Source organism: Homo sapiens, chromosome 8 (genome assembly GCF_000001405.40).
Source record: "Homo sapiens chromosome 8, GRCh38.p14 Primary Assembly".
NCBI lineage: Eukaryota > Metazoa > Chordata > Mammalia > Primates > Hominidae > Homo > Homo sapiens.
In genome coordinates, this window is record NC_000008.11 from 66,536,654 (window position 1) to 66,561,679 (window position 25,026).

General features: G+C 42.8%; 1 long non-coding RNA gene across 2 annotated transcripts in view, besides 2 other annotated features; it reads right to left on the reverse strand.

The window, feature by feature from the left end:
• LOC124901955 (uncharacterized) overlaps positions 1 to 5,512 on the reverse strand; it is a 35,981-nt gene extending 30,469 nt beyond the window's left edge. For both annotated transcript variants that reach the window (XR_007060952.1, XR_007060951.1), the window contains exon 1: positions 5,306 to 5,512. This is a non-coding gene — a long non-coding RNA (uncharacterized LOC124901955). The remainder of the gene's footprint in view (positions 1 to 5,305) is intronic.
• Positions 4,904 to 5,420: an enhancer, noted in NCBI's record as "H3K4me1 hESC enhancer chr8:67453792-67454308 (GRCh37/hg19 assembly coordinates)". NCBI's record gives its function as "activates a minimal SCP1, AML or CMV promoter by ChIP-STARR-seq in naive H9 embryonic stem cells {active_cell/tissue: H9 hESC(naive)}" and the evidence as "EXISTENCE:reporter gene assay evidence [ECO:0000049][PMID:30033119]".
• Positions 10,158 to 10,207: an enhancer, noted in NCBI's record as "active region_27482". NCBI's record gives its function as "activates an Ori minimal core promoter by ATAC-STARR-seq in GM12878 lymphoblastoid cells {active_cell/tissue: GM12878}" and the evidence as "EXISTENCE:reporter gene assay evidence [ECO:0000049][PMID:35858748]".

Here is a 25,026-nt window from a genome sequence, read left to right on the forward strand (position 1 = left end):
AAAATGGTCCATTTGACAGGAGAAAAGTGCATGATGGGGATGGGTGGATGACGAGCCTGAGAAGGGGAGGGGCTTGGAATGCCATGCTAAGCCCAGGATTTTGACTCTGGCTGGCAGTGGGGTGTCATAGGACGCTCACAAGAAAAGTGAGGTGCTCTGAGGAGATCTCTCAGAAAAGCCCTCACTGGCAGCTCTGAGAATGACATGATGGATAGTGCCAACATGTTGAGAGTGACCGAAAAAAACAAGGAGGGAGAAAAACAAAAGAAATGCTAAGAGCCTGGATGCTCCATAGGTTCTATAATTAGCACTTGAATAATTACATGAATCCATGTACAGGGATTACAGGGAGAAGCCTCCAGAGGCCCCTTATATATGGTGACTGCCATATGCTAATTCATGTGTCCTCCCCGGTGGCACATTCCAAAGTATGACCAGGAACCTACAGCATCCAAACGGGCATTCAGTGCAGTCCATCCAGAATGGACTCTCTTCCTAGGCAGTGAGGTCAGCTCCTGAGGGAGGGAGGCTTCCATAGAACATCTTGCTTTCTTTTCCTGGACTTAGCTTTCTCTGAAGGGCACAATCATGCCCTGGAATAAAGAATACAGTCTTTTCTTTCTTTCTTTTCTTTTCTTTTCTTTTTTTTTTTTTTAGAGATAGCGTCTTACTCTGTCACCCAGGCTGGAGTGCAGTAGCATAGTCACAATTCATTGCAGACTCAACCTCCTGGACTCAAGCAATCCTCCTGCCTCAGCCTCCTAGGTAGCTGGGATTACTGATGCACACCATCACACCCAGCTAATTTCTTAATTTTTTTTTTTTTTTTGAGATGGAGTCTCACTCTGTCACCCAAGCTGGAGTTCAGTGGCACCATCTCGGCTCACTGCAACCTCGGCTTCCCAGGTTCAAGCAATTCTCCTGCCTCAGCCTCCTGAGTAGCTGGAACTACAGGCACATGCCATCATGCCCAGCTAATTTTTTTGTATTTTTAGTAGAGACAGGGTTTCACCATGTTGGCCAGACTGGTCTCAAACTCCTGACCTCAGGTGATCCACCCGCCTCAGCCTCCCAAAGTGCTAGGATTACAGATGTGTCCAGCCTAACTTCCCACCAAAGTGCTGGGATTACAGATTGTGTCCAGCCTAACTTCTTAAATTTTTATAGAGACAGGATCTCAGTATGTTGCCCAGGCTGGTCTCAAATTCCCGGGCTCAAGCAATCCTCCTGCCTCAGCCTCCCAAAGTGCTAAGATTACAGGCATGAGTCACTGCGCCCAGCTTGGAATACAGTCTTATAGTTTTGTTTTGCCCATTAATTCACCCATGTGTTCATTCATTTAACAAACATTTGTGAAGACCTGCTCTGTGCCAGCAGTATGAAGGCTATAAGGAGAAATATGGAGACATAAGAAAGGGATGGCTCCTGTCTTCAAGGAGGTTACTTCTAATGTATGGCATGGCTATAATAAAATGAAATCTGCTACATGGGCCTTTAGAACAACACAAACAAGATATTAAGGGAATTCAAAGTGAGAAAGGTGATTTGAGAACCTTAGTTACTATACATAATTGGAAAATTATCTCTAGATCCTTGCTTTTTGAGGTATGGCCCATGGAACCAAAGCAAAGGCACCACCCCGGAGCTCATTAGAAATGCAAAATTACAGACGTTGAATGTGGATCTGCATTTTAATAAGATCCTCTGGTGGTGTGTGTGCACATTCAAGTTTGAGAAGCACTGGTTTGCAGCCCATGAGGCCTTAAAGCTTGCTTTAAATAGTCTAAGAAAAAAAATAAATGATAAGCACAAAGTGATCAAAACTACACTCCTTGTATTGTGAGATTAACCTAACCACAATATAATCTTTCAAAATTAGTACCTCTTTTCCTTAAATACGTCTTGTATTTCCAACTCTTCTGTTATTCCACCTGAGAGGTATACAGGTGTGTGGGCCTCAAATAAGAAGGAAAAAAAAAGAGAAGAGGAAAGAAAATAGGTCCTTTCTGGAAGGCAGACAGCGTTGGCAAGCTAGCAGCAGATTCAGTTCTGGAAAATAAAGCCCATGTGCTTTGAGGTGGTTGGGGAGTCATTTGCTCTTAGATCTCCATTTCACCTGCCTCACAGCTGTCCTGCTGCATGCTTCATCAACATTAGGGCAGGCATGTTTGTGCCAGCTTCTTTTCATATGTCAATCAAGGGACATTTGTTCAGTTACTTACTACATACATTGCATGAGCTAAATGTTCCAAGGTACATAAAGGCATAATCAAAGATGAGTAGAAATAATGATAAAAATAGGTAGGAAGCAAGTAGTAACAAAAGAGAGGTACAAACCAAAGACTGTGAATGTTGAGATAAGGGAGAGAAAATTCTGGCTCAGGAGATCCAAGAAGACTTCATGAAGGAGGCAGCAGAACCAGTTGAGCCTTGAGCCTTGCATGATAATTAGGATTTGAAGAGGAAGTTATGGGGTTAGGGCATTTTTATAAGGGCATCTAGCTCAGAAAAAGAATGGAGGTGAGAAGATAAAGGGTTTCTCTGAGGAGATGAAAGGATCTGATTGGGGAATGTGAGGAAGCAAGCCAGAAAGGAAGGCTTGGGATTAGCTCACGGTGGCCCCAAGTGCCCAAATGTGAGTAGCAGGAGTCACCGAAGCGTTTGAGTGGAGGAGTGACATGATCTTGTCTGGACTTTGGAGCTCTTGTACACCAGGAGTTCTTGGCAGGTGAGGGAGTAAGTGGGATGGTTAAGAATTCTTCTCTGGCTGGGCACGGTGGCTCACACATGTAATTCCAGCACTTTGGGAGGCCAAGGCAGGTGGATCACCGGAGATCAGGTATTCGAGACCAGCCTGGTCAACAGGGTGAAACCCCGTATCTACTAAAAATACAAAAATTAGCTAGGTGTGGTGGCACATGTCTGTAATCCCAGCTACTCAGGAAGCTAAGGCAGGAGAATCACTTGAACCCTGGAGGTGAAGGTTGCAGTGAGCCGAGACCATGCCACTGCACTCTAGCCTGGGTGACAGAGTGAGACTCCATCTCAAAAAAAGAAAAAAAATTCTCCTATCCTCCCCTACCACTCCCAGTTGAAGACATAGTTATTATTCTCTTCTAGCCCACTAACCTCCGCCTTCCTGCCAGCCATGTGATCAGCAAGTGCGCAGCATCCAAGTTACCAGGGGCTGGAGTTGAGTCCAGCCCCTACTAAGGCCTTGTCTGAGGCTTGGGAAGTGACCCGAGCTTGGTTCCCAGGAAGACAAAGGAGACCAGGGAAGCTAGGATGGTAAGTATGAAAGACGGTAAGTATGAAAGCCACTGATTTACTCAAGTCCAGGGTTTTAATGGTTATCATTGGGCATAGTTGTCAAAAAGGAAAGGATGATCAGATAAGAAACCTCATTTGACAGTCAAATGTGTCTTTGTACCTGTGTTTGTTTCTGGGTATGTGTTGTTCTAGGAAGAAATATTCAGTTCCCTTTTCTGGGAATCTGATTCCTCTGACACTGCTGCTTCTTCTTTCTCATGGTAGACACAGACTTGGGAACTAGATGGAACTATAGGATCCATTTTGCTCACAGCTTCCCTATTTAATGGAGAAGCCAAATGACTTGTCTAGCTCTGCAGTTGGCCAAGCCTAGAGTAGGGCCTTTGTGAAAAATAAAAATAAAAGAAATATCAAACATGAAGCTGGAGGAGCGTCTCTGGCATCCTCCCATTCTTGAAAGTGGGGGCTTCTCTGTTACACATGCCCTCTAGACTGCTGCAAGCTGGGGAGGGCCATTTCCAGCCTCATTCTGGGCTGCAGGCCAGGGGTAAAGGGCCTCCACACGGGGTACCGGGGGTGGGGGAGAGTGCCTCTGACCACAAGTAGGCCGCCTGCCTGCACAACCCAGCCTGGATGTCCCCACCCCATCCTGATTCCCATCCTGTGTTCTGAGATGCCTGTTTTCACTCATAAAAACCGAAATGCAACAGGACTTTAAACTGTTCAGAAGAGAACTTTGTGTTAAGAAAATGCAACTTCTTCTGCTTGGCCTACACCAAAGTACAAAGAGATTGGTGTGAAATGGCTTTCTCTTGGGAGGAATGGAGCTAAGTGAGACATGTTCAGTTGCTTCCCAGGGACATGAGAAGGAGTTATTCTTCTCTTTGCAGAATGCTGGTGGAGAATCACTGTATAGGGCAGTAAAATCCTTCCTAATGAAGTATTTGGGGCTTACCTTTGCTCAAGAGGGAAAGAAGGACATCTCTTTCTCCAAGTTGTGGCCACAGGTCTCACAATGTCAAAATATCTCCTAAGGCCTTAACTGTCTTATGCTTTGATATAAAGGAAAAAAGGAAATGCCAGTTAAATAAGGCATAAAGGTCATTGGCAGATTTACCTTGTTTCCTTTTTTTTTTTTTTTTTGAGACAGAATCTCACTTTGTCACCCTGGCTGGAGTGCAGTGGTGCGATCATAGCTCACTGCAGCCTGGAATTCCTGGGCTCAAGCAATCCACCAGCCTCAGCCTCCTGAATAGCTGGGACCACAGACGCTCAACACTGCACCTGGCCATCACTCTCTTTTTAGAAGAGCAACAACACACCATGCAAACACAGATGGACATCTGTGCATACTACCCAGGATGATGTGTTAGAAATGCAGGATTGGGTGGGAAGGTGAGATCCAAACAGGCTGGCTGTTGGCAAATATGTCAGAAGGGGCTTTTAGGGTTCCCCTGTGGAGTCTTCTCTCTTTGCCCCACCCCCGACAGCAGGGACCCTCTGCTGAGCTTTCACCCAGGTCTGCCTGTCCTCTCTCTCTCTCATCCTAACTGCAGACCTCTCCCGATTTTCATGCCTCAGTGTACTTTTGGGCCAAGAGTCATTGCCTGCATGTAATGACTGGTCCCTGCTAAAGGGATGAGGTGAGCTAATAGACTCGGGTCACCACCACAGATGTAACCAGGGCCTTCTGGAGAGAGCACCTAGACCTGAAGAGGACAAGTCAGTGGAGCAGACGCTTAGAACATAGAAGGGGCCTTCATACAGCTTCCCTCACATCTACTGGCCCAGGACAGTGGTGTTCTAGAACAGAACACCCCATTCAAATCCAAACGGGGCATTTCCCAATCTGTGTAAACGGTGGTCAAGCTGCAGCCCTAGATAAATCACGCTTACTATCATCAGTTCTGCTGCCAGATCTGAAGAAACGGCCACCAGGGGTGGCAGAGGTCAGGCGACGTGCGGCTACAGCTGGAGCATGGCTCTGCTTGCCTGTGTCCTACCCTCCTCCCCTACACACACCACGCATCCACACCTGGTCAGGGGTTGGCCCACGTCCTCCAGTTGCCAAGTCTTTCTCTGGCCAGGAACACTGGGCCAAGAGGTACCTTGGGAGACTCTCTCTGGGGGTCCCGGTGTCCTGTCTGTCTGCAGATGCACACACCCTGGGCGCTCCTGGGGCGGGCCCTGGACAGAGGGATGCAGCGCAGATCCATCCTGGCTGACACCCTGCACTGAAGACTCCTAACAATGGCCCGGGGCCAGCCGCGCTCACCCAAGTGCAAACATCGCTCTAGTCTCTGCCCACAAAGGCCAGATGGAAACTCCCCCTCATTTGTTGGCTCAGATCTGACAGAGCAAAAGCCTTTTATCCCAGAGGAAAGAGCCGGTTCTGAGCGGCAACCCCGCCCCCGAGCACACACAAAGTCAAAAAGACGTTTGTCCGAAGGGCCTGTCACAGGGAAGACGTTCTTTTATTTATTTCGTTTTTAAATAATTTTCTCTTCCCGCCAAAATGTCCGTAGTAGTAGCAGCAGCAGCAGGTCCACGGGGAGCCTGCCCTCGGTCCTGCTTGTCACATCCCTAATCGCGTCCCATCTGGTGTCTGGCGTGCACAAAGGCCGCCCGTTCCGGCGGGTTGTGCATTTATGCAGCGCAGCGGCCGCCCCGCACCAGGCCGACGCGACACACTTCTGGCAGGTGCGGGCCAGGGCCATCCGCAGGCTACATGCCCGCCGCGCCCTCAGCCTCTCCAGGGCTCGGGCCACACAAAAGGCGCCGGGTGCTGCGGGCTTGGGCCCCCTCCCGCTCCGGGCTGGCACCGGGACTGACGGCTGATGTGGGTGGACTGGCCCTCAGCGAGAGAAAGGGATGCGTGAGCCCTGGGACCCCAGCAAGCCTTGACAGTGCACATTAAAGTGTGCGCCTCCGACTCAGCAAGTCGCCTCTCCTAGAAGTACATCCTGGGGTGTCACTCAGAATGGTCCAAAGACACGCCAAGTGCCAGCACCACTATTTTTTGTGTAATAGCAAACATTTAGAAACAACTCTGACAACAAAGAGTTAGGTTACATAAATTGTAGAAACATACATACTATAAAAATATTATGTAGCAATTTAAAGATGCTAAGAATAAGACCTACTATTTGATAGCACAGCAGGGGTGACTATAGTCAAAAAAACTTCATTGTACATTTTAAAATAACTAAGAGTGTAATTGGATTGTTTGTAACAAAAGGATAGACCCTCGAGGGGATGAATACCCCATCTCCATGATGTGATTATTACACATTGCATGCCTGTATCAAAACACATCATGTACCCCGTAAATATATACACCTACTATGTACCCACAGAGTTTTTTTTATTAAAAAAAATAAAAAATAAATGTTTTAAAAAAGATTAAAGGTGCTGAAGACAGGTTTATATTACTATCAAAGGACATCCACAAAAACATTCTTAAATTGAAAAAGCAAGTTATAAAATAATATGGACAGTATGATTCTATTTTGTTACTATATGTGTGTGTGTGTGTATATATATATATATATATATATATATATATATATATATATACTTACATATGTGTGAATGGATGAAGAAAAAGTATATACACCAAGATGATAATAGTGATTATTTCTGGGTTGTGTGTTTATGGCTGAATTTATCTTCCTATTTTTTATCATCTGCGTTTTCTGACTTTTACATATTTTCTATAACTAAATGTGTCACTTGTATAATAAAAAAGAAATTTAAAAAAATGAACACTGGAGACAGCTCTCTTTTTACATATAGATGTTATTGAAAGCCATGGACTGGATGAAGTCACCTGAGGGGACAAATACACAGAGAGGAAAAGGGGGCCCTGGCTCAGCCCTGGGGACTCCAGTATTTAGAAGTTAGGCACCCAACGAGGAGGAGACAGGAAAGGAAACCAAGAGGGCAGCCAGAGAACCGGAGAAGAGCTAGAAAGATCCCAGAGGCCGAATGAAGGAAAGGGTCAAGTGGGCTCTGCCATGAGCCCCTAAGAGATCAGATAAGAGAAGGACTGCAAACTGGGCACTGGTTTGGCAAGAGGTGATTTTATCAGAGTAAGAGGGAAGGTGAAAAAGTGGAGTTTTGCTGTGAAGAGCAGCAGGGTAATAAATGGGGGATACAGAGCGGGCTTGGGTCACGGGAGGGTTATTTATTCAAAGTGAGAGATATTTCCACCCTATTGTAGATGATAACCACAATCAGGTAAAGAGGGGGAAATAGTCTGCTAGTGTGGGATGCTGGAGAGAGAAGGAAGGCATGCAGGGGCAACAAGTCACGGTGGGTGACAGGGTCCAGCTCACAGGGTGGGTGGGCCTCAGAGCAATGGATGATGCACCCTCAGGAAGCAGAGTAGAGAGTATAGGTGGGCACCTCTGCAGGGAACTTGATGAGTGTAGGCCCAGCGGGAAGTGGGGGGTTGTGCTGGCAGGCAGGGGCAATGAGGTATTTCTGGCTGGTTGTCACTATTTTGTCTAAAACACAAAGCAGCGACCAAGAGTGAATGCAAATCTGAAGAGAGAGGAGAAGATGGAAAGTTCCCTCCTGAGAGGGAAGGAGCTGACCGCCCACGGGCACGGGGTAGGATCGTGCAGCCATGCTGAGGGACTGCTTTAGGTCTGTGGGCATGAAGTGCATTTCATAAAAGGCCAGTCAGCACCATTGTGCATTTTGCTTTTGCAACCTGCTGGTGCTCCTGAGAGAATGGTGAGCCCTATGGAGGAAACCTGCCCAGGGTGATGTCAGAGATGACAAGGGGCACTGGGGATGGCTGCCCTGCAGAGAGTTTGTCACCTTGGAACATTGGATTGTGATGTTCTTTAGCCTCTTGCCGGAGAGAGCTTGTCCAACCCCAGCTTAAAGCCTAAGCCTATTCTGACTCTTTTTTTATTTTCATTTTTTTTTATTTTTGAGATAGAATCTTGCTCTGTCATCCAGGCTGGAGTGCAGTGGTGTGATCTCGGTTGACTGCAACCTCCACCTCCCCGATTCAAGCTACTCTTGTGCCTCAGCCTCCCAAGTAGCTGGGATTACTGGTGTGTGCCACCAAGCCAGGCTGATTTTCATATTTTTAGTGGAGACAGAGTAACACCATGTTGGCCAGGCTGCTTTCGAACTCCTGGCCTCAAGAGATCCACCATCCTCAGCCTCTCAAAGTGCTGGGATTACAGGTGTGAGCCACCACGCCTAGACTTATTCTGAGTTTAAGACTTAACTTAGGGGTTACACCCCGTAAAAGCTAAAGAAGGGGCTGTCACTAAGCACATGAATTATAATTATATCTTTGACTCTGTTTCTTCTTCTTCCTTTTTTTTTTTTTTTTAACAAGGTCTTGCTCTGTCACCTGGACTGAAGTGCAATGGTGAGATCTCAGCTCACTGCAACCTCCACCTCCCTGGTTCAAACAATTCTCTTGCCTTAGCCACCCAAGTAGCTGGGACTACAGGTGCACGCCATCACACCTGGCTGATTTTTGTATTTTTAGTAGAGACAGGGTTTCCCCATGTTGGCCAGGCTGGTCTCAAACTCTTGGCCTCATGTGAGCCGCCTGCCTCGCCTCTCAAAGTGCTAGGATTACAGTTGTGAGCCACTGCACTCAGCCAGTGACTCCATTTCTGAAAGTAGACTAGGAGTTACTGGGGCTAGAAATGATTATTTCTATCTCCTGAATCCCTAGCACAGAACTTTAAAAATATATAGTAGGAGCTCAATAAATACATGTTGGAGGAAGGAGGGGAGGGAGGGAAGGAAGGAGAGGAGGGATGGAGGGAAGGAGGGAGGGAGGGAAGGAAGGAAGGAGGGAAGGAAGGAAGGAAGGAAGGGAGGAGGGAAGGAAGGAAGGAAGGAGGAAAGGAAGGAAGGAGGGAGGGAGGAAGGGAGGGAGGGAAGGAAGGAGGGAGGGAGGGAAGGAAGGAGGGAGGGAGGAAAGGATGGAAGGAAGGAAGGAAGGAGGGAAGGAAAGAGGGAGGGAGGGAGGGAGGGAGGGAGGGAGGGAAGGAAGGAAGGAAGGAAGGAAGGAAGGAAGGAAGGAAGGAAGGAAGGAAGGAAGGGAAAAGGAATAAGATTCTCTGTTTTAGAATTGAGGAAATCAAAGCCCCGAAAGTCTTCTATATAAGCCTTCCAATTCCAAATCCTACCTATAAAACCAATCAAGAGTTACATAGAATTTTTTTTTTTTTGAGACAAAGTCTTGCTTTGTAGCCTAGGCTAGAGTGCAGTGGTGTGCCTATTGCACACCTCAACCTCTTGTTGTTGTGGCTTACTGCAGCCTCAACCTCTTGGGCTCAAGTGATCCTCCCACCTCAGCTAAGTAGCTGGGACTACAGGTGCACACCACCACACCTAGTAATTTATTCTATTTTTTGTAGAGACAGAGTCTCACTTGTTGCCCAGTCTGGCCTTGAACTCCTGGACTCAAGTGACCTTCCTTCCTCAGTCTCTCAAAGTGCTGAGACTACAGGCATGAGCCACTCTCTGGGGCCAAATATTTGTTATATTATCAAACACAAGATTAGAGGTAGAGTGACTTTGCATATGACTTGCTTATGTTTATTGTTCCTGTATGATTATGGATAGCATCACATTTCAAGTTCCAAACTGTCCTTAGTTTACATAGTAAATTATATGACCATTCCAGTTACAGCTGCTCTTTCTCTTTTTTTTTTTTTTTTTTTCTAAGACAGGTTCTTACTCCATCACCCAGGCTGGAGTGCAGTGGTGCAATCATGGCTCACAGCAGCCTCAACCTCCTGGGTTCAAGCAATCCTCCCACCTCAGCCTCCCAAGTAGCTGGGACTACAGGTGTGCACCACCACACCTGGCTGATTTTTAAACATTTCTGTAGAGAAAGGGTCTCACATTTTTGCCCAGGCTGGTCTCAAACTCCTGCGTTCAAGCAATCCTCCTGCCTAAGCCTCCTGAAGTGCTGAGATTACTGGCCACAGCTACTCTTAAGTCAACAAAAACCCTCTGAGTCACCCTCCCCTATAAACTCTTTCTTGTCCATGGTTCCTGTTAGTACCTCAGAACCTGTTGGAGTCATTGCTGAACACTGAATACAGAACTGGGGTGGTTACACGGGTCAAAGCTTTCAGAGCACTCTTCAAACTAAAAATGCAAATTTTTTCATATTTCTCATGTGATTCAATATCAGATTCTCACTTTTGACCATCCCTCTATAGCCTACAATATTACACATGGATGTGAACTAAGTTATGGCTTTTTAAAAATGTTTTGCTGCTATCTTCTTTTGTTACATTTTATTGGTTATACATGCCAAACAAACCAATTAATTTTTAACAGCTTTATTGAGGCATAATTTACATACCATTAAATTCACTCATTTCGAGTATTCAATTCAATAATTTTTGATAGGCTGGGCATGCTGGCTCATGCCTATAATTCCAGCATTTTAGGAGGCCAGTGAATTGCTTGAGCCCAGGAGTTCAAGACCAGCCTGGATGACATGGCAAAACCTCACTGCTATAAAAAAATATACAAAAATTAGCTAGGCATGGTGGTATAGACCTATAGTCCCAGCTGCTCGGGAGGCTGAGGCAGGAGGATCACTTGAGCTCAGGAGGTCAAGGCTGCAACGAGCTGTGATTGTGCCACTGCACTCCAGCCTGGGAGACAGAGTGAGACCCTGCCTCAAAAAAAATAAAAAAATTTTATAAACTCACAGAGTTGTGTAACCAACACCACAGTAATTGGATTATTTTTATTTATATAATGGAAGTCATGCATATCTTGAGCTATTATATGAGTTATTTAATGTACAAAACCCCAAACATATATTCTCTAACTCTCTTTCTTTTTCTCAACAATTCAATGCTGTAATAACTTATATCTGTCTCAGGAAATGACTTCCTCTCAAGCCTTAGGAAAATAAGTGGGGATTATAAAATAATGACCATATTCTTGAGCATAATAGTACTGTTAGCAGCCTCAAATCCATAGGGGTCTGCAGCAACCTCAATTCTTGCCTCCTCAGAAGAATTCAACCGAGGGGCATAAGGCAGAGTGACAGACCCAGGCAAGTTTTAGAGCAGGAGTGAAAGTTTTTTAAAGAAATTTTGGAGTAGGAAGGAAAGAAAGTAAAGTACACTTGGAAGAGGGCCAAGTGGTGACTTCACAGATTCAAGTGCCCTGTTTGACCTTTGACTTGGGGTCTTATACATTGGCATGTTTCTGGGGTTTTGCTCTCTTCTCCCCTGATTCTTCCCCTGGGGTGGGCTGTCCACAGCTCAGTGGACTCCCAGCAGTTGAGAGGAGCCCCAGGAGCAGTGTTTACTGGTGTTGTACATGCTCACTTGAAGCATTTTTGCCTTACCAGTCAAGTGTTCCTGGAGGAAGGTCATATAGCACTTAAACTCCGTCATTTTGCCTCTTAGTGCTCATGCTGGAGCCTGCTCACCCAACTCCTAAGATCTTATTGGGAAGCTGCTAATCACCAGTTTCAGGTGTTTCTATCTATTGGGAGACTGCCTTTGCCTGGTGCTGGTTGTGACCAATTTTTTTTTATAGAGACGAGGTCTCACTATATTGCCCAGGCTGGTCTCAGTGATCCTCCCACCTCTGCCTCTCAAAATGCTGGGATTACAGGAGTGAGCCACTGCCCCTGGCCACAATTATTATTTTAGAGAGACAGTTTAATAACCACCTGACCATCACCTCATGGTTGCCTGACATTTCTGGTGAACACAGGGTTGGCGGGGGGCCTTTCCTGCCCTGCTCGTGTCTGACTAGCTATCCACTGTAATAGTACTTTAGTATTTTTTTTCCAGAACACACTGCATTTTATGTTTTCACAAAAATGAGGAGAAATAACCATAAGTGAGAAGATAGCTCTGTCCTTACAATGTGGGAGAAAGTCGATAGCTGACATCTGATGATTTAATTACATGGCCCACAGACATTCTGCCTCCAGGGTTCCTCTCATCACTATCACCCAACCAAGCATTCTACCTCCTCAGCTACTTTCTTTTTGTGGTTATTACTAAATAGATATCCTGTGTTGTCATTTAAAACCATTGCCACTGGGTTATAATAAGAGAAGAAAATCCAGGCAGCTGCTAAGAATGCAGTGGCTTGTTTTCCCATGGGCCCCTTTGTTCTTTACCACGGCTTGACATTCTGTGTGAGGATTCCAGGCTTGAAACTGCTAATTCACTGTCTTTCATCACAGAACCCAAAGAGACCCCATCATGGCTGCAATGCCCCGTTTAACTGAAATGTACCATTAACCATGCTCTTATCCATTTAATATAAAATCAACTACTCCCGTCAACTACTGTGACTAGAGTTTCTGATATCAACATGCCAACAAAACAATGGCAATGAGAGCTAAATCTTACTTCCCACCAAGCTTTGTGTCATAGTTCACTGGCCACCGAACATATTCAAGAACATGAACAGTCAAGGAAATGCTGGAAGAGAGTGAAAGAGATCTTTCTAGGGATGGGGGTTTCTTATTCAAGAACCCCAGGAGTGGTTCCCCAAATTCTGGATTTCATGTGCCTGTAAGATTTCAAAAATATTAGGGGTTTGGAGAATAGGTTTGGGGTTTGGCATATATTGCCAAATTAGGACTATCCTCATTGTTTCAGAAAGAAAGATTATTATGCAGACACCCCAAAAATAGAAAGAATGTGTTCTCAGAATGAATGACCATTCTATAAGTTAATTAACTTTTGTTTTACTTAAAAACTTATTATGCCCACCAACTTTTCTCAAATAAAAGTATAGCTTCACCCAAAATATAATTGCCTTTCATATAGACAACGAAATTTTTGAAATGCTTGTTTGTACTCAGCTACAGAAAGGAGATCCTGGATGGGCATGGTGACACATGCCTATAATTCCAGCGCTTTGGGAGGCCAAGGTAAGAAGACACTTTAAGCCAGGAGTTTGAGACCAGCCTGGGCAACATAGCGAGATCCCCATCTTTCCAAAAAAAAAAAAAAATTAGCTGAGTGTGGTGGTGCATGACTGTAGTCCCAGCTACTCAGGAGGCTAAAGTTCAAACATCACTTGAGCCCAGGAGTTTGAGGCTGCAGTGAGCTATGATCACACCACTGCACTCCAGCAAAACTCCATCTTTAAAAAAGAGAGAGAGAGAGAGATCCTGCCATTTCCCACAACATGGATGGAAAGGACCTGGATGACACCTTGCTAAGTGAAATAAGCCAGACACAGAAAGAAAAAATACTGCATGATCTTACTTACATGTGGAATCTTAAAAAAAAAAAAAACCCAAATACACAAAGATAGAGAACAGGGACAAGTGAGGAGGGGAAGGGAGAGAAAATAGGGAGATGTAGCAAGTACAATGTGAGGACCAAAGTTAATAAAATTGTACTGTATTGGGAATTTTTGTTAAATAAGATTTTTAGCTGCTCTTGTCACACACAAAAAAGGAACTATGTGAGATAATGTATATGTTAATTTGCTTTACTATAGTATCAATTTTACTATCTATACATATCCTTTAATATCACGGTTTGTTTTGTTTTGTTTTGCTTTGTTTTGTTTTGTTTTGAGACAGGATCTCACTCCTGTAGCCCCCACTGGAGAGCAGTGGTGTGGCGCAATCTCAGCTCACTGTAGTCTCAACCGCCTGGCCTCAGGTGATCCTCCTACCTCAGCCTCCTGAGTAGCTGGGACTACAGGCACCCAGCTAATTTTTTTGTTTTTTTAGTAGAGACAGGGTTTCGCCATGTTGCCCAGGCTAGTCTCAAACTCCTGGACTCAAGCAATCTGGCCACCTCAGCCTCCCAAAGTGCTGGGATTACAGGCATGAGCCACCATGCCCAGCCAATATCATGTTTTAAGCCTCAAATATATACAATACAATTTATTGTTTAACAAAGAAAAACATTTATTTCTAATTATTTGCCCAGATTGAAAGATTGATTTTTAAAAATCTCAAACTGAATTCTAGAATTCAGGCAATATTTGGTATTGCAATGATCTAATGAATTCCATTCACTCTATGTTCCTATCCCGCCCACCTCCCAACCCTTAATTTGTATTATGGTCTAGGGAAACACGCTATTCTTTCTAGGGAAACAATGCTATTCTTTCTCCACCAGCAAGCTTGAGAAAACATTTACCTTTAAAACCACATCATAGCAAGACCCTGTCTCTACAAAAAAAAAAAAAAAAAAAAGAGAGAGAGAAAAAAAATTAGCCAGGCTTGGTGGTGTGCATCTGTGGTTCAAGCTGCTCAGCAGGCTGAGGTGGGAGAATCTCTTGAGCCTGGGAGGTCGAGGCTGCAGTGAGCCATGATTTCACCACACACTCCAGTCTGGGTGACACAGCAAGACCCTGTCTTAAAAAATAAAAACCATATCATAAAAAGTTACAGTGAGAAAACTATTAGGTTGGTGCAAAGGTAATTGCAATAAATAAAGGACCCAAACTACACAAAGAAGCTACCACTAAATCTAAAGTGCTCAGAAATTGCGGTAAATTTTGATGTTATCATCACATCTATTCCCCAGACTCACTATGACTCTCTGGTGCCATTCATATAGTTTCTCCTTTGGAAAGTGAACAGTAAACGAAATAATAAATATATAAATTACATTTACTACTTCAAATTGGTTAAATACCTCAGAGGTTTATCACCCACTGGCTAGTCTCAAAGAAGGGAGGTCAGACGCAAAGAGCAGCCTTCAAAGACGTGGGTAGCGGGGCCAGGCTGGAGGCACAACGTCCAGGAAGAACGGAGGAAAGTCTTTTTCCCACCTCCTCCAGAACTCCAGACTTCTTTTGCTTCTTCAAACATTTCCTGTTTAACTTTTCATTTTGAAATGATTCAACACTAAATGTAACAAGAATACTACAAGAAATTTCTTTTCTTTTTTTTTTTTTTTTTTTTGAGACGGAGTTTCACTCTTGTTGCCTAGGCTGGAGTGCAGTGGTGTGATCTCGGCTCACTGCAACCTCCACCTCCTGGCTTCAAGTGATTCTCCTGCCTCAGCCTCCTGAGTAGCTGGGATTACAGGCACATGCCACCACACCTGGCTAATTTTGTATTTTTAGTAGAGATGGGGTTTCACCATGTTGGCCAGGCTGGTCTTGAACTGATCTCAGGTGATACACCCACCTTGGCCTCCCAAAATGCTGAGTTTACAGGTGTGAGCCACCGTGCCTGGCCAATACAAGAAATTTCTGAATCGTTCTTCAAACCAGGTCCACCAATTGTTGACGTTTTAGCCATGTTTGCTTTATTATCCTCTTTCCCTCTCTCTCTGTATGTTTACACGCATACATGCGTGTGCACACATACTTGCATATGCACAGGCACAAACATTTCCCTTGAACTGAGAGTTACTCCTTTATCCCTAAATACTGCTCCTTTATTAGAAACAAAAATATTCATTTAAATAGCCATACTACAAAGATCAAAATCATGAAAGTTAATTCTGATACAATACCATTATCTAATATATTAATTTTATTTAAGTGTTGCTAATTGCATGGACTGAATCTGTCTTTCTACAATTCATATGTTGAAACCCTAACCCCTGGCATGGCTGTATTTGAAGATGGGGCCTCTAAAGAAGTAATTAGGGTGAAATGAGGTCCTGAGCGTGGGGCCCTGATCCGATAGGACTGGTATCTTTATAAGAAGAGACACCAGAGCTCTCTCCTGCCTGTCCACACATGCATAGAAGAAAGGCCGTGTGAGGACACATCAAGAAGATGGCTGTTTGCAAGGCAGGAAGAGAACTCTCTCCAGAAACCAAGTTTGCCAGCACCCTGATCTTGGACTACCAGCCTCCAGATCTGTGAGAAATAAATGTCTGTTGTTAAGCTACCCAGTTCATAATATTTTATTATGGCAGCCCAAGCATGGTCCCAATAATGTCCTTTATGGCAATTTTTTGCTCTGGCCTAGCATCTGATCTTCCCCCAAACTCTTGAAGCGCTCCGTCTCTATCCCTTCCTTTGGTCCACAGCAGGAACTGCCGTGTGTTTTTGGTAAACTTTTCACATGCACATGTCCATCTTTCTGGGGGGAGCTGTGAACAATGTTAATCTTCACTTTTGTCTTGTACTTCTGTGATTGCCACACATGGTCCACACAGGCTCTTGCACACAGAGGCACTCAGTAAATACTTGTTGATTGATTGGATGGGAATAAGTTATAATCACTAGCTGTATTAAAGCTTGGGGCCAATGATCACTATGTGAGCCATTTCTTGGTAGCCCGTCTTGCCTATTGCCAGCACAAACTTTCCTGTTTGTAACACATACTCATAGGCTCCCAAACTCCTTCAGTATAAAAGTTCAATCTCTTACCAGGATTTTAAAGGCCCCTTAGGGTCTGGCCCCAGTGTGCATTTTTACAACATGATTTCTTCAACCAAAGTGGAGCCACTTGGCAGTCCTTAAGTACATCCTTAATTTTCCATTCTCCAGCCTTTTACTCATTTTTGTTCTCTCTGCCTAAAATTCAATTCCTCCATCTCCATTGATTAAAATTACCCTCTAATATTGGAGCCCAATATTGGAGTAGGGCAAAATTTCAATCATTCTTGCATATATGCATGTATACATTTATTCCACAAATAATTATTGAGCATCTACTATATGCCAGGCACTGTACTATGTGCTTGAATTACAGTATTGAATGAGATAGAAATGATTTGCTGCCCTCTTAATCATCCATACCTCTGCTAATTGGGCACTCTCTTCTGCAAATTTGAGGCAGGGTTTCTATTTACAATGACTTGTTTTCCTGATATAATAATACAGTACTTGGTCATTTGGCCAATACAAATGCCTCATCTTTGCAGACAATTCCGTAGTTGATAGGCACATACACACTCATTAGCTCATTTCATCCTAACTCAGAGGTTAGTAACAAAGATATACCTGTTCCCATTCTATAAAAGAGGAGACTGAAATTCAGAGAGGTTAAGGTAGCCAACATAGGCTACTGTCAGATCTATCATTCCTCTAGAGATCTCTCTCTAGGATGAGAATCCTGGCCTTCTTTCTGACCCTTTGTGCAATATCAACACCTCCTTTATATACAAATGAAACTAGGTGTTAGAGAAGGGATAAGCAACATTAGTTCTACTTTATATGTAAAAACCGGCTGGGCACAGTGGTTCACGCCTGTAATCCCAGCACTCTGGGAGGCCAAGGCGGGCCGTCACTTGAGGTCAGGAGTTCAGACCACACTGGCCAACATGGTGAAACCCTGTCTCTACTAAAAATACAAAAATTAGCCAGGCATGGTGGTGCCCACCTGTAATCCCAGCTACTCAAGAGCCTGAGGCAGTGGAATTGCTTGAACCCCGGGAGGCAGAGGTTGCAGTGAGCCGAGATCATACCACTGCGCTACAGCCCGGGGGACAGAATGAGACTGTGTCTCAAAACAAACAAACAAACAAAAAACAAAACAAAAACAATATGTAAGCACAGTGGATGTCAAGGATCTACTGCAAAATAAATGCAAGCTAGTGGTATTTGGAAATAAAATTCCATCTTAGTTCTTCCATCAAGAAAATATAAATGATATATCAATGCCTTCAGAGAAAATAAACTATTTGCCAGAATTTATCTGAATTTATAAGTTTGATTGTTGGTAACTTGGCCTTGCTTTATAAACATTTAAAATTTGAACAACTAGTATTATAATCTGTTAAATCAGTAAAAATTTTAAATTCTTCTGTATGTCCAGTTTCATCTTACACTATTGAAATACCTTAGCATTCAGAAAATTTAGGGAAAAAAAGAAGATAAATCACTAATCTACACATTTTAATACATAGTTCTTAGCCTGAAAGTGTTTCCTTTGAGTCTTTTATCAGATGTAAGGTTTTACACTATTACAATTATAATTCTCATGCCCTGCCTTTTCTGATGTCCTATTTATACTTTTCTGTGTTTCAACATAGTCTGAAAATAGAATAGGTCTTGGAATCAGAAGACTGAAATTCAAAACCCAGCTCTATGACTTACCACCTGTTTGCAAAAGCACATGCAGGTTTTATGGGGCTCAAAGCTTTTACAGTTTGGGGACCCTTTCTTTAAGAATACAAAATTAGAAGAATTGACTGTTTCTTTGGAATTAAAAAGGAAATCACAACACATTTCTGGAGATGTGGAGATTTCGATCTTTTCTTCTAAGAGCTCTTTAGGCAATTTACCAGAAATGCTTATATAGAAATGCTTTCCAATTGCAATCTGGTTTCCCCTCCTATATCTCACACTGTGTGACTCCCTGCGCTCACAGGAGTCCATACAAGCCTTGATGTTTAAGCTTCATTTGCTTTACAATAAATCCACCTCTACCAGTATGATCTTGGGCAGGTCAAATAACTTCTCTGGTCTTCAGTTTGTTCCTCTGTAAAATGGAATCATTATATTAATAGCTACCTGCAGAAGTTACAGTGAAGACCAAATGAAACCATGCAGAAACTAGTGCTGGAAAGCACGGAGCATCACCCAGGCCGTTTATCATTCCCCTAATGCCAGCCCTGCAGTGCTCTTATGGAGACCAGCTTCTTTCCATTATATTATTGTCATTTTTCAACAAACAATCTATGCCTTCCTTTCTTATGTCACTTTTAATGGATTTTTAGACTAGTAAATGTTGTTCGTTTTTACAAATCCTTCTGTAGCAATTTATGGCTAAAATGGCAATTAAGTAAAGCAACTCTTTATCTGAGTGCTATCCCTTGGTTATTTCTTCAGAAAACAATGCCTAATAACATCTGATTTTGGAGGAAATGGATTAAAGCAACTAGGAAAGAGGTTAGAGGACTCAAGAGATCCAACGGCTCTGGCCTGTGAGCAGACGGGCCATTCATAACTTTGTAGTTTCTCATTCAGAGCAGCCTCCGATGAATCTCCTGCCCAAGCTGGTCTGCTTATGGAACAAAAGGCTGGCAACGTGTGTGTTTCACGCCTCACTGCTCAGGGCTGGCCTCTCTGGTGGCCTGCAGTCATCAGAGGGACTTGCCACCCTCAATTATTTGGCTTTTACAAATCACTACAGGGAAATCCAGCCTAGGCAACACATAAACGCTTTCCTTCATACCATCGGGAAGCTGCCACAATCCTTTTATTGTTTAAGTAACCGACAAAGGTTTCTATTGACTATTTCCTGTTACGGCTTCCTCACCAAGGAAAGGCACCCTTTCCTGCAGTGACTTTTCAAAATGCTGTGGAAACCCTGAGAGTGATCATTGAAAGTTGTCCCTAAGTCATTATTCCATGGTTTACAACATAATTCCCTCAAAGGACGATTTGCAGGTGGCTGCATTTTACCTGATATTCTCCCAGCTCTGAAAAATAATACACAACCTTGGAAAAGGTGATAATACCCCAACAGGCGAGAGATGCCAACTTGTCTCATTCCATTTTAAACAATTGTGAAAGAAATGCTTCTGCAATTACAACTACTCCCACCTCAGCTGAGAGCTACCTCACTTTATATAATACTGGAAGAAGGAAAGGGTGGAGAGAACTGCAATGTGGGCAGAAATGGAGGCTTGGCACCATCTCATAAGCAGATCTGGGCCTAGGGGACAGGAAAATGGGCCATATATTAACCTGGGAGTACTGGAAAGAGGAAATAAGTTACCAATTAGCTAATTTTATTTATTTATTCATATTTTTACTTTTATTTTTATTATTTTTTTGAGACAGGGTCTCACTCTGTTGCCCAGGCTGGAGTGCAGTGGTGCTCACTGCAACTTCTGCCTCCCAGGTTCAAGTGATTCTCGTGGCTCAGCCTCCCCAGTAGCTGGGACTACAGGCATGCACCACCATGCCCAGCTACCAATTAGCTAATTTTAAAGAGTAAGAAGAAGCTGTTGTTGTTTTTGTTAAGAAGCAGCTGTTACTTCCCAAGATTTCTCTAAATTTTAATTTTCTTTCACATATAAAAGAGTGTATGTTTAAAATACATGGAGATAGTTCAATACATATAAGCAAATTTCCTTAAATATCATATGTCTAGCAATTACGCATTCTGTAAGAGATAGAATTGACCTCAAATTTTCAATTAAATTTATTAAAATAGAAAAAAAATTAGCCAGGCATGGTGGCGAGCACCTGTAGTCTCAGCTACTTGTAGCGGCTGAGGTGGAAGGATTGCTTGAGCCCAGGAGGTTGAGGCTGCAATGAGTCAAGATCATGCCACTGCACTCCAATCTGGGTGACAAAGTGAGACCCTGTCTCAAAAAAAAAAAATTATAAAAATAGAAAAAAAAATACTTGCTTTACCAACTTTTGGTTCTATGGCAAACCTCATGATCCCACCTCTCAATATAATATGGTCCACCTATTTATTCCACAGTCCAAAGGCATGAGAAATTTACACTAATACCTATAATTGTTCTTCCCAAAGATTCAACCCAGGTTTCTTCTTTATATCTTGAATTTTGGCTTCCATATTCTTCAAACATTAAGCTAAACTGATTTTTTTTTTGGTAGTATCAGTATAGCTTTATGCATGGTGATTTCTAATAAGAAGAGTGTGCCCAGCCCAACCAAATTCAAAGTTAAAAGTGTCTAAGGGAAATCAATAAACACAATCCAATGTATTTTATTACATTGTTTTTAAAGAAAGAATTTACCCATTTACTTATTGAGTTCACTGTTATCATTAAGTCCTAAAATAGTATTTTAAAAAAAACAAAACTTGAAATGATTTGAAAAGCACATAATGACAATTATTGGGTAAATGTTAGTTAATATGAACTCTAAATAAACAATTAAACAAAATTTATTAAAATAGAAAAAAATTAGCCAGGCATGGTGGCGAGCACCTGTAGTCTCAGCTACTTGTAGGGGCTGAGGTGGAAGGATTGCTTGAGCCCAGGAGGTCAATATGTTGACAATTATAATAATGGCCCTGACTGTATACTGGGTTTGATTTTAACATTTACTTAAAGGACTCTAGAGTTTATTGAAGTAGTATTTGATTTTTCTAGATTCAATATAGTTATAGAAACAGATTGTAGATGTGTATAGAGGAAGTGAATTAATTCACAATTATTTTGGTTCTATGGCAAACCTCATGATCCCACCTCTCAATATAATATGGCCCACCTATTTATTCCACAGTCCAAAGGCATGAGAAATTTACACTAATACCTATAATTATTCTTCCCAAAGATTCAACCCAGGTTTCTTCTTTATATCTCTTATAAAGAAGTGCAGTTGATAAGGTACAAAGTAACTAGTGGACCACATTAGACAGATGACTATCTTGTGACAAATGATTTGGTGAATATGGATATTTTGGTGGGGGCGGGAGTGAAAGTATGAACTTTGAGGCGGAGATTCAGAGATGGGTAATTGTGAATATTTATGGAGAACTGCGAGTATGTAGCTTGGCTTGAGTAAATGATTCATGCAATGAGGTAGAGTTAGCACTTACAGGCCAGGCGCGTGGCTCATGTCTGTAATCCCAGCACTTTGGGAGGCTGAGGTGGGTGGATCACTTGAGCTTAGGAGTTCAAGACCAGCCTGGGCAACATGCTGAAACTCTGCCTCTACCAAAAATACAAAACTTAGCCAGGCATGATGACTCAGGCCTGTAGTCCCAGCTACCCAGGAGGCTGAGGTAGGAGGATCACTTGAGCCAGGAAGCAGAGGTTGCAGTGAGTTGAAATCTCACCACTGCACTTCAGCCTGGGCAACAGAGCGAGAGCCCATCTCCAAAAAACAAACAAACAAAAAACCAAGGAAATAAAAAGAGTTTGGTCATACACATAAAAATTTAGTATACGTAGCTCAAGGAAATAATTATTTCATGTAAAAATTTAGTATAAATTTATTTTACCAGGAGAAATGGGCCTAACACTTGCTGGAGAATAATGAAAAGTTCTGAGTGCTAGCTTTGTAGACTCTTACAAGTAAGCATATAAATGGAAGAATATAGAAAATGATTCATTGGCCAGGCGTGGTGGCTTATGCCTGTAATCCCAACACTCTGGGAGGCCAAGGCGGGTGGATCACAAGGTGGCGCACACCTGTAGTCCCAGCTGCTTGGGAGGCTGAGGCAGGAGAATCGCTTGAACCCAGGAGGCGGAGGTTGCAGTGAGCCAAGATCGCGCCACTGCACTCCAGCCTGGGTGACAGAGCGAGACTCTGTATCAAAAAAAAGAAAAGAAAAGAAAATGATTCATTATATTTTGTTCTGGCTGAGCACTTTTATTTTCCTGTTATAACCTAGCTTTCATTTTTTAAACTTGTTATTAAGGCATAATGTAGATAAAGTACACATACCATTAATAGTAGAGCTTGATTTTTACAAACTGTGAACACATCCATGAAATCAGTACCTGGTGCAAGAAGTGGAGTATCGCACACTCAGAACTGCCCCGTGCTCCTTCCAACCTTCCCGCCCAGGACCACCAGGACCATCACTATCCTGACTTCTAACAACATGCATTAGCTCTGCCTGTTTTTGTACTTTTATATAAAGGGAATCATACACTATGTCATCTTTCGTGCCCTATGCTTAAAGAATCAAACTAAACCTTGGATGATTGAATCCCAGCTCAGTATTTCACTGTGAGTTTGGAAAGCCTCTTAACCCTGTTTCCACATCCAGAGAAGTGGATTATAACAGTGTTTGCCTCATAGGGGTATTGTGAGGATTAAGTGAGATAATGTATGTAAAGGTTTTAGCACAGTGGGTGGAGTGTGGCTGCAGCTGCCACACTGTACTCAAACTTATAGTCTGTGAACTTCCCGGGTAATGCAAGACTCCAGTCAATTCTGAATATGAGAGAGGGAAAAAATCCATGTCATCTGGGCAGAGTCCAACTATTCCTTTATTCACAAATGAGCATCTACACATACAATAGGGAACTTGGCTATTTGATCCATCTCACTTTTGGCCAAAGGAGAAAAGACATTTCTGTTACATACTTATTCATCTCCCCTTCTAGAATATCAGCTTCCTTAAGGGAAAGGTCATGCACTGTTTACCATAGTATATGCAGTGCCTAGCACAGGGCATCGTAAGCACTTAGCTAAACTGAATAAATAGTTAAGTACTAACAATATTAGGGCTTAGGACATTATGTTCAAATCTGCTCAAAACTTCTGAGCTTTGTTTGGCAAAATCACAGTAGTTAAATCAGAGTAAAGTGAATCTCCTGCCTTCTTTCCCTGTGCTGGCCAGGAAAATCCAATCAAACCTAGCACATTCTGTACTTGGAACTTGAGTTAAGCATACTAGGTCTGAAAACTTCAGAAATAAGGGCAGTACACACTACTACTTTTAATACTATTTGCTCCAAACTCAACAGCTTTTGACGTACTTAGACCAACACACTAAAATATTTTCAAAAACACTCTCTTCCTAGCACATCAGTCACAAGTATTTTCCAAGTGCACTTTATCTTGATTTTCTACTGATATATTTCACATTATTGACAATATCCATACTCTCTAAAAAAAAAAAAAAAGGCCAGGGGAAAGTGCAATGTTCCAACAGAATTCTACTTGGTTCAATTTATCTCCTACTACTTAATTAAAAATAAATTTTCACTTCTCACCAAGTAGGAGGCACGTCTTCAAATACTATCATCAGTTTTACATTACAAATTAAAGGTCTGATTGGCTGGCAAGCCTACCACTATAGAACTGGATAAGTCAAGCAGGAAATTATCTGGCTATAAAATGAACTGAAAGATTTTAAGAAAGTAATACAATTTATTGGCTGTGAAGCAAAACTAGCTTCATGCAGATAACTATCAAAGCTATTTATAATTCATAGTATAAAAAAGTATGGTTAATATTCTGAGTCATGACTAATTTTTTAAATTACTTAAATTTAACACTTGGCGAGATTTTTCTAAGCACCATGCTAGACACAGAAATGAAGGAGTTATAAATAGCAATCCCTACTCTTCAGAAATGCAGTCTGGTGGGAAAGTTTTATGGAAGCACTAGGATAATCAGGAAATGACTCACAGGCCCATGCCTTGAAGGCTAAGATTTTAACAGGCTAGGGAGACAAAGAAAAGAAGTCATACAAAGAGGGCCCGGCGCGGTGGCTCACGCCTGTAATCCCAGCACTTTGGGAGGCTGAGGCGGACAGATCAGTTGAGGTCAGGAATTGGAGACCAGCCTGGCCAACATGGTGAAACCCCATCTACTAAAAATACAAAAATTAGCCGGCGTGGAGGTGCACACCTGTAATCCCAGCTACTCCGGAGGCTGAGGTAGGAGAATTGTTTGAACCTGGGAGGTGGAGGTTTCAGTGAGCCAAGACGGTGCCACTGCACTCCAGCCTGGGCAACAGAGTGGGACTCCATCTCAAAAAACAAAAAAAAAAAGTCATGCAAAGAGGGTATTACAAACACGGGCCTGGAGATAGGAGTGTGCACATATGTTCCTGGGAGATCTAAGTCGCCAGTATGACTGAAAAATGAAGTGTGGAAAAGTTGGTCATGTCCAGGTTAGGGAGTGAAGGAGAAGGAGAATTATTATTATTTAGGCAACAGAGAACTATGGAACGTCGTTTTTTATATTTGTTGCTGTTTACATATAAGGAGAAAATGTGCCTAGTCCTCTCAGTTTTATTTCACGCTATAAATTAAGAGACTGGCATTATAATTTCATATATCAGTCATAAACTTGAGGTAAGCCTTCTACTGAGAGGTAAACTCACTTTTAATGAGTTAATTTCCTCAGACTTCGGAGCCTACAAGGCTAAAGATAGAATCTAGATGG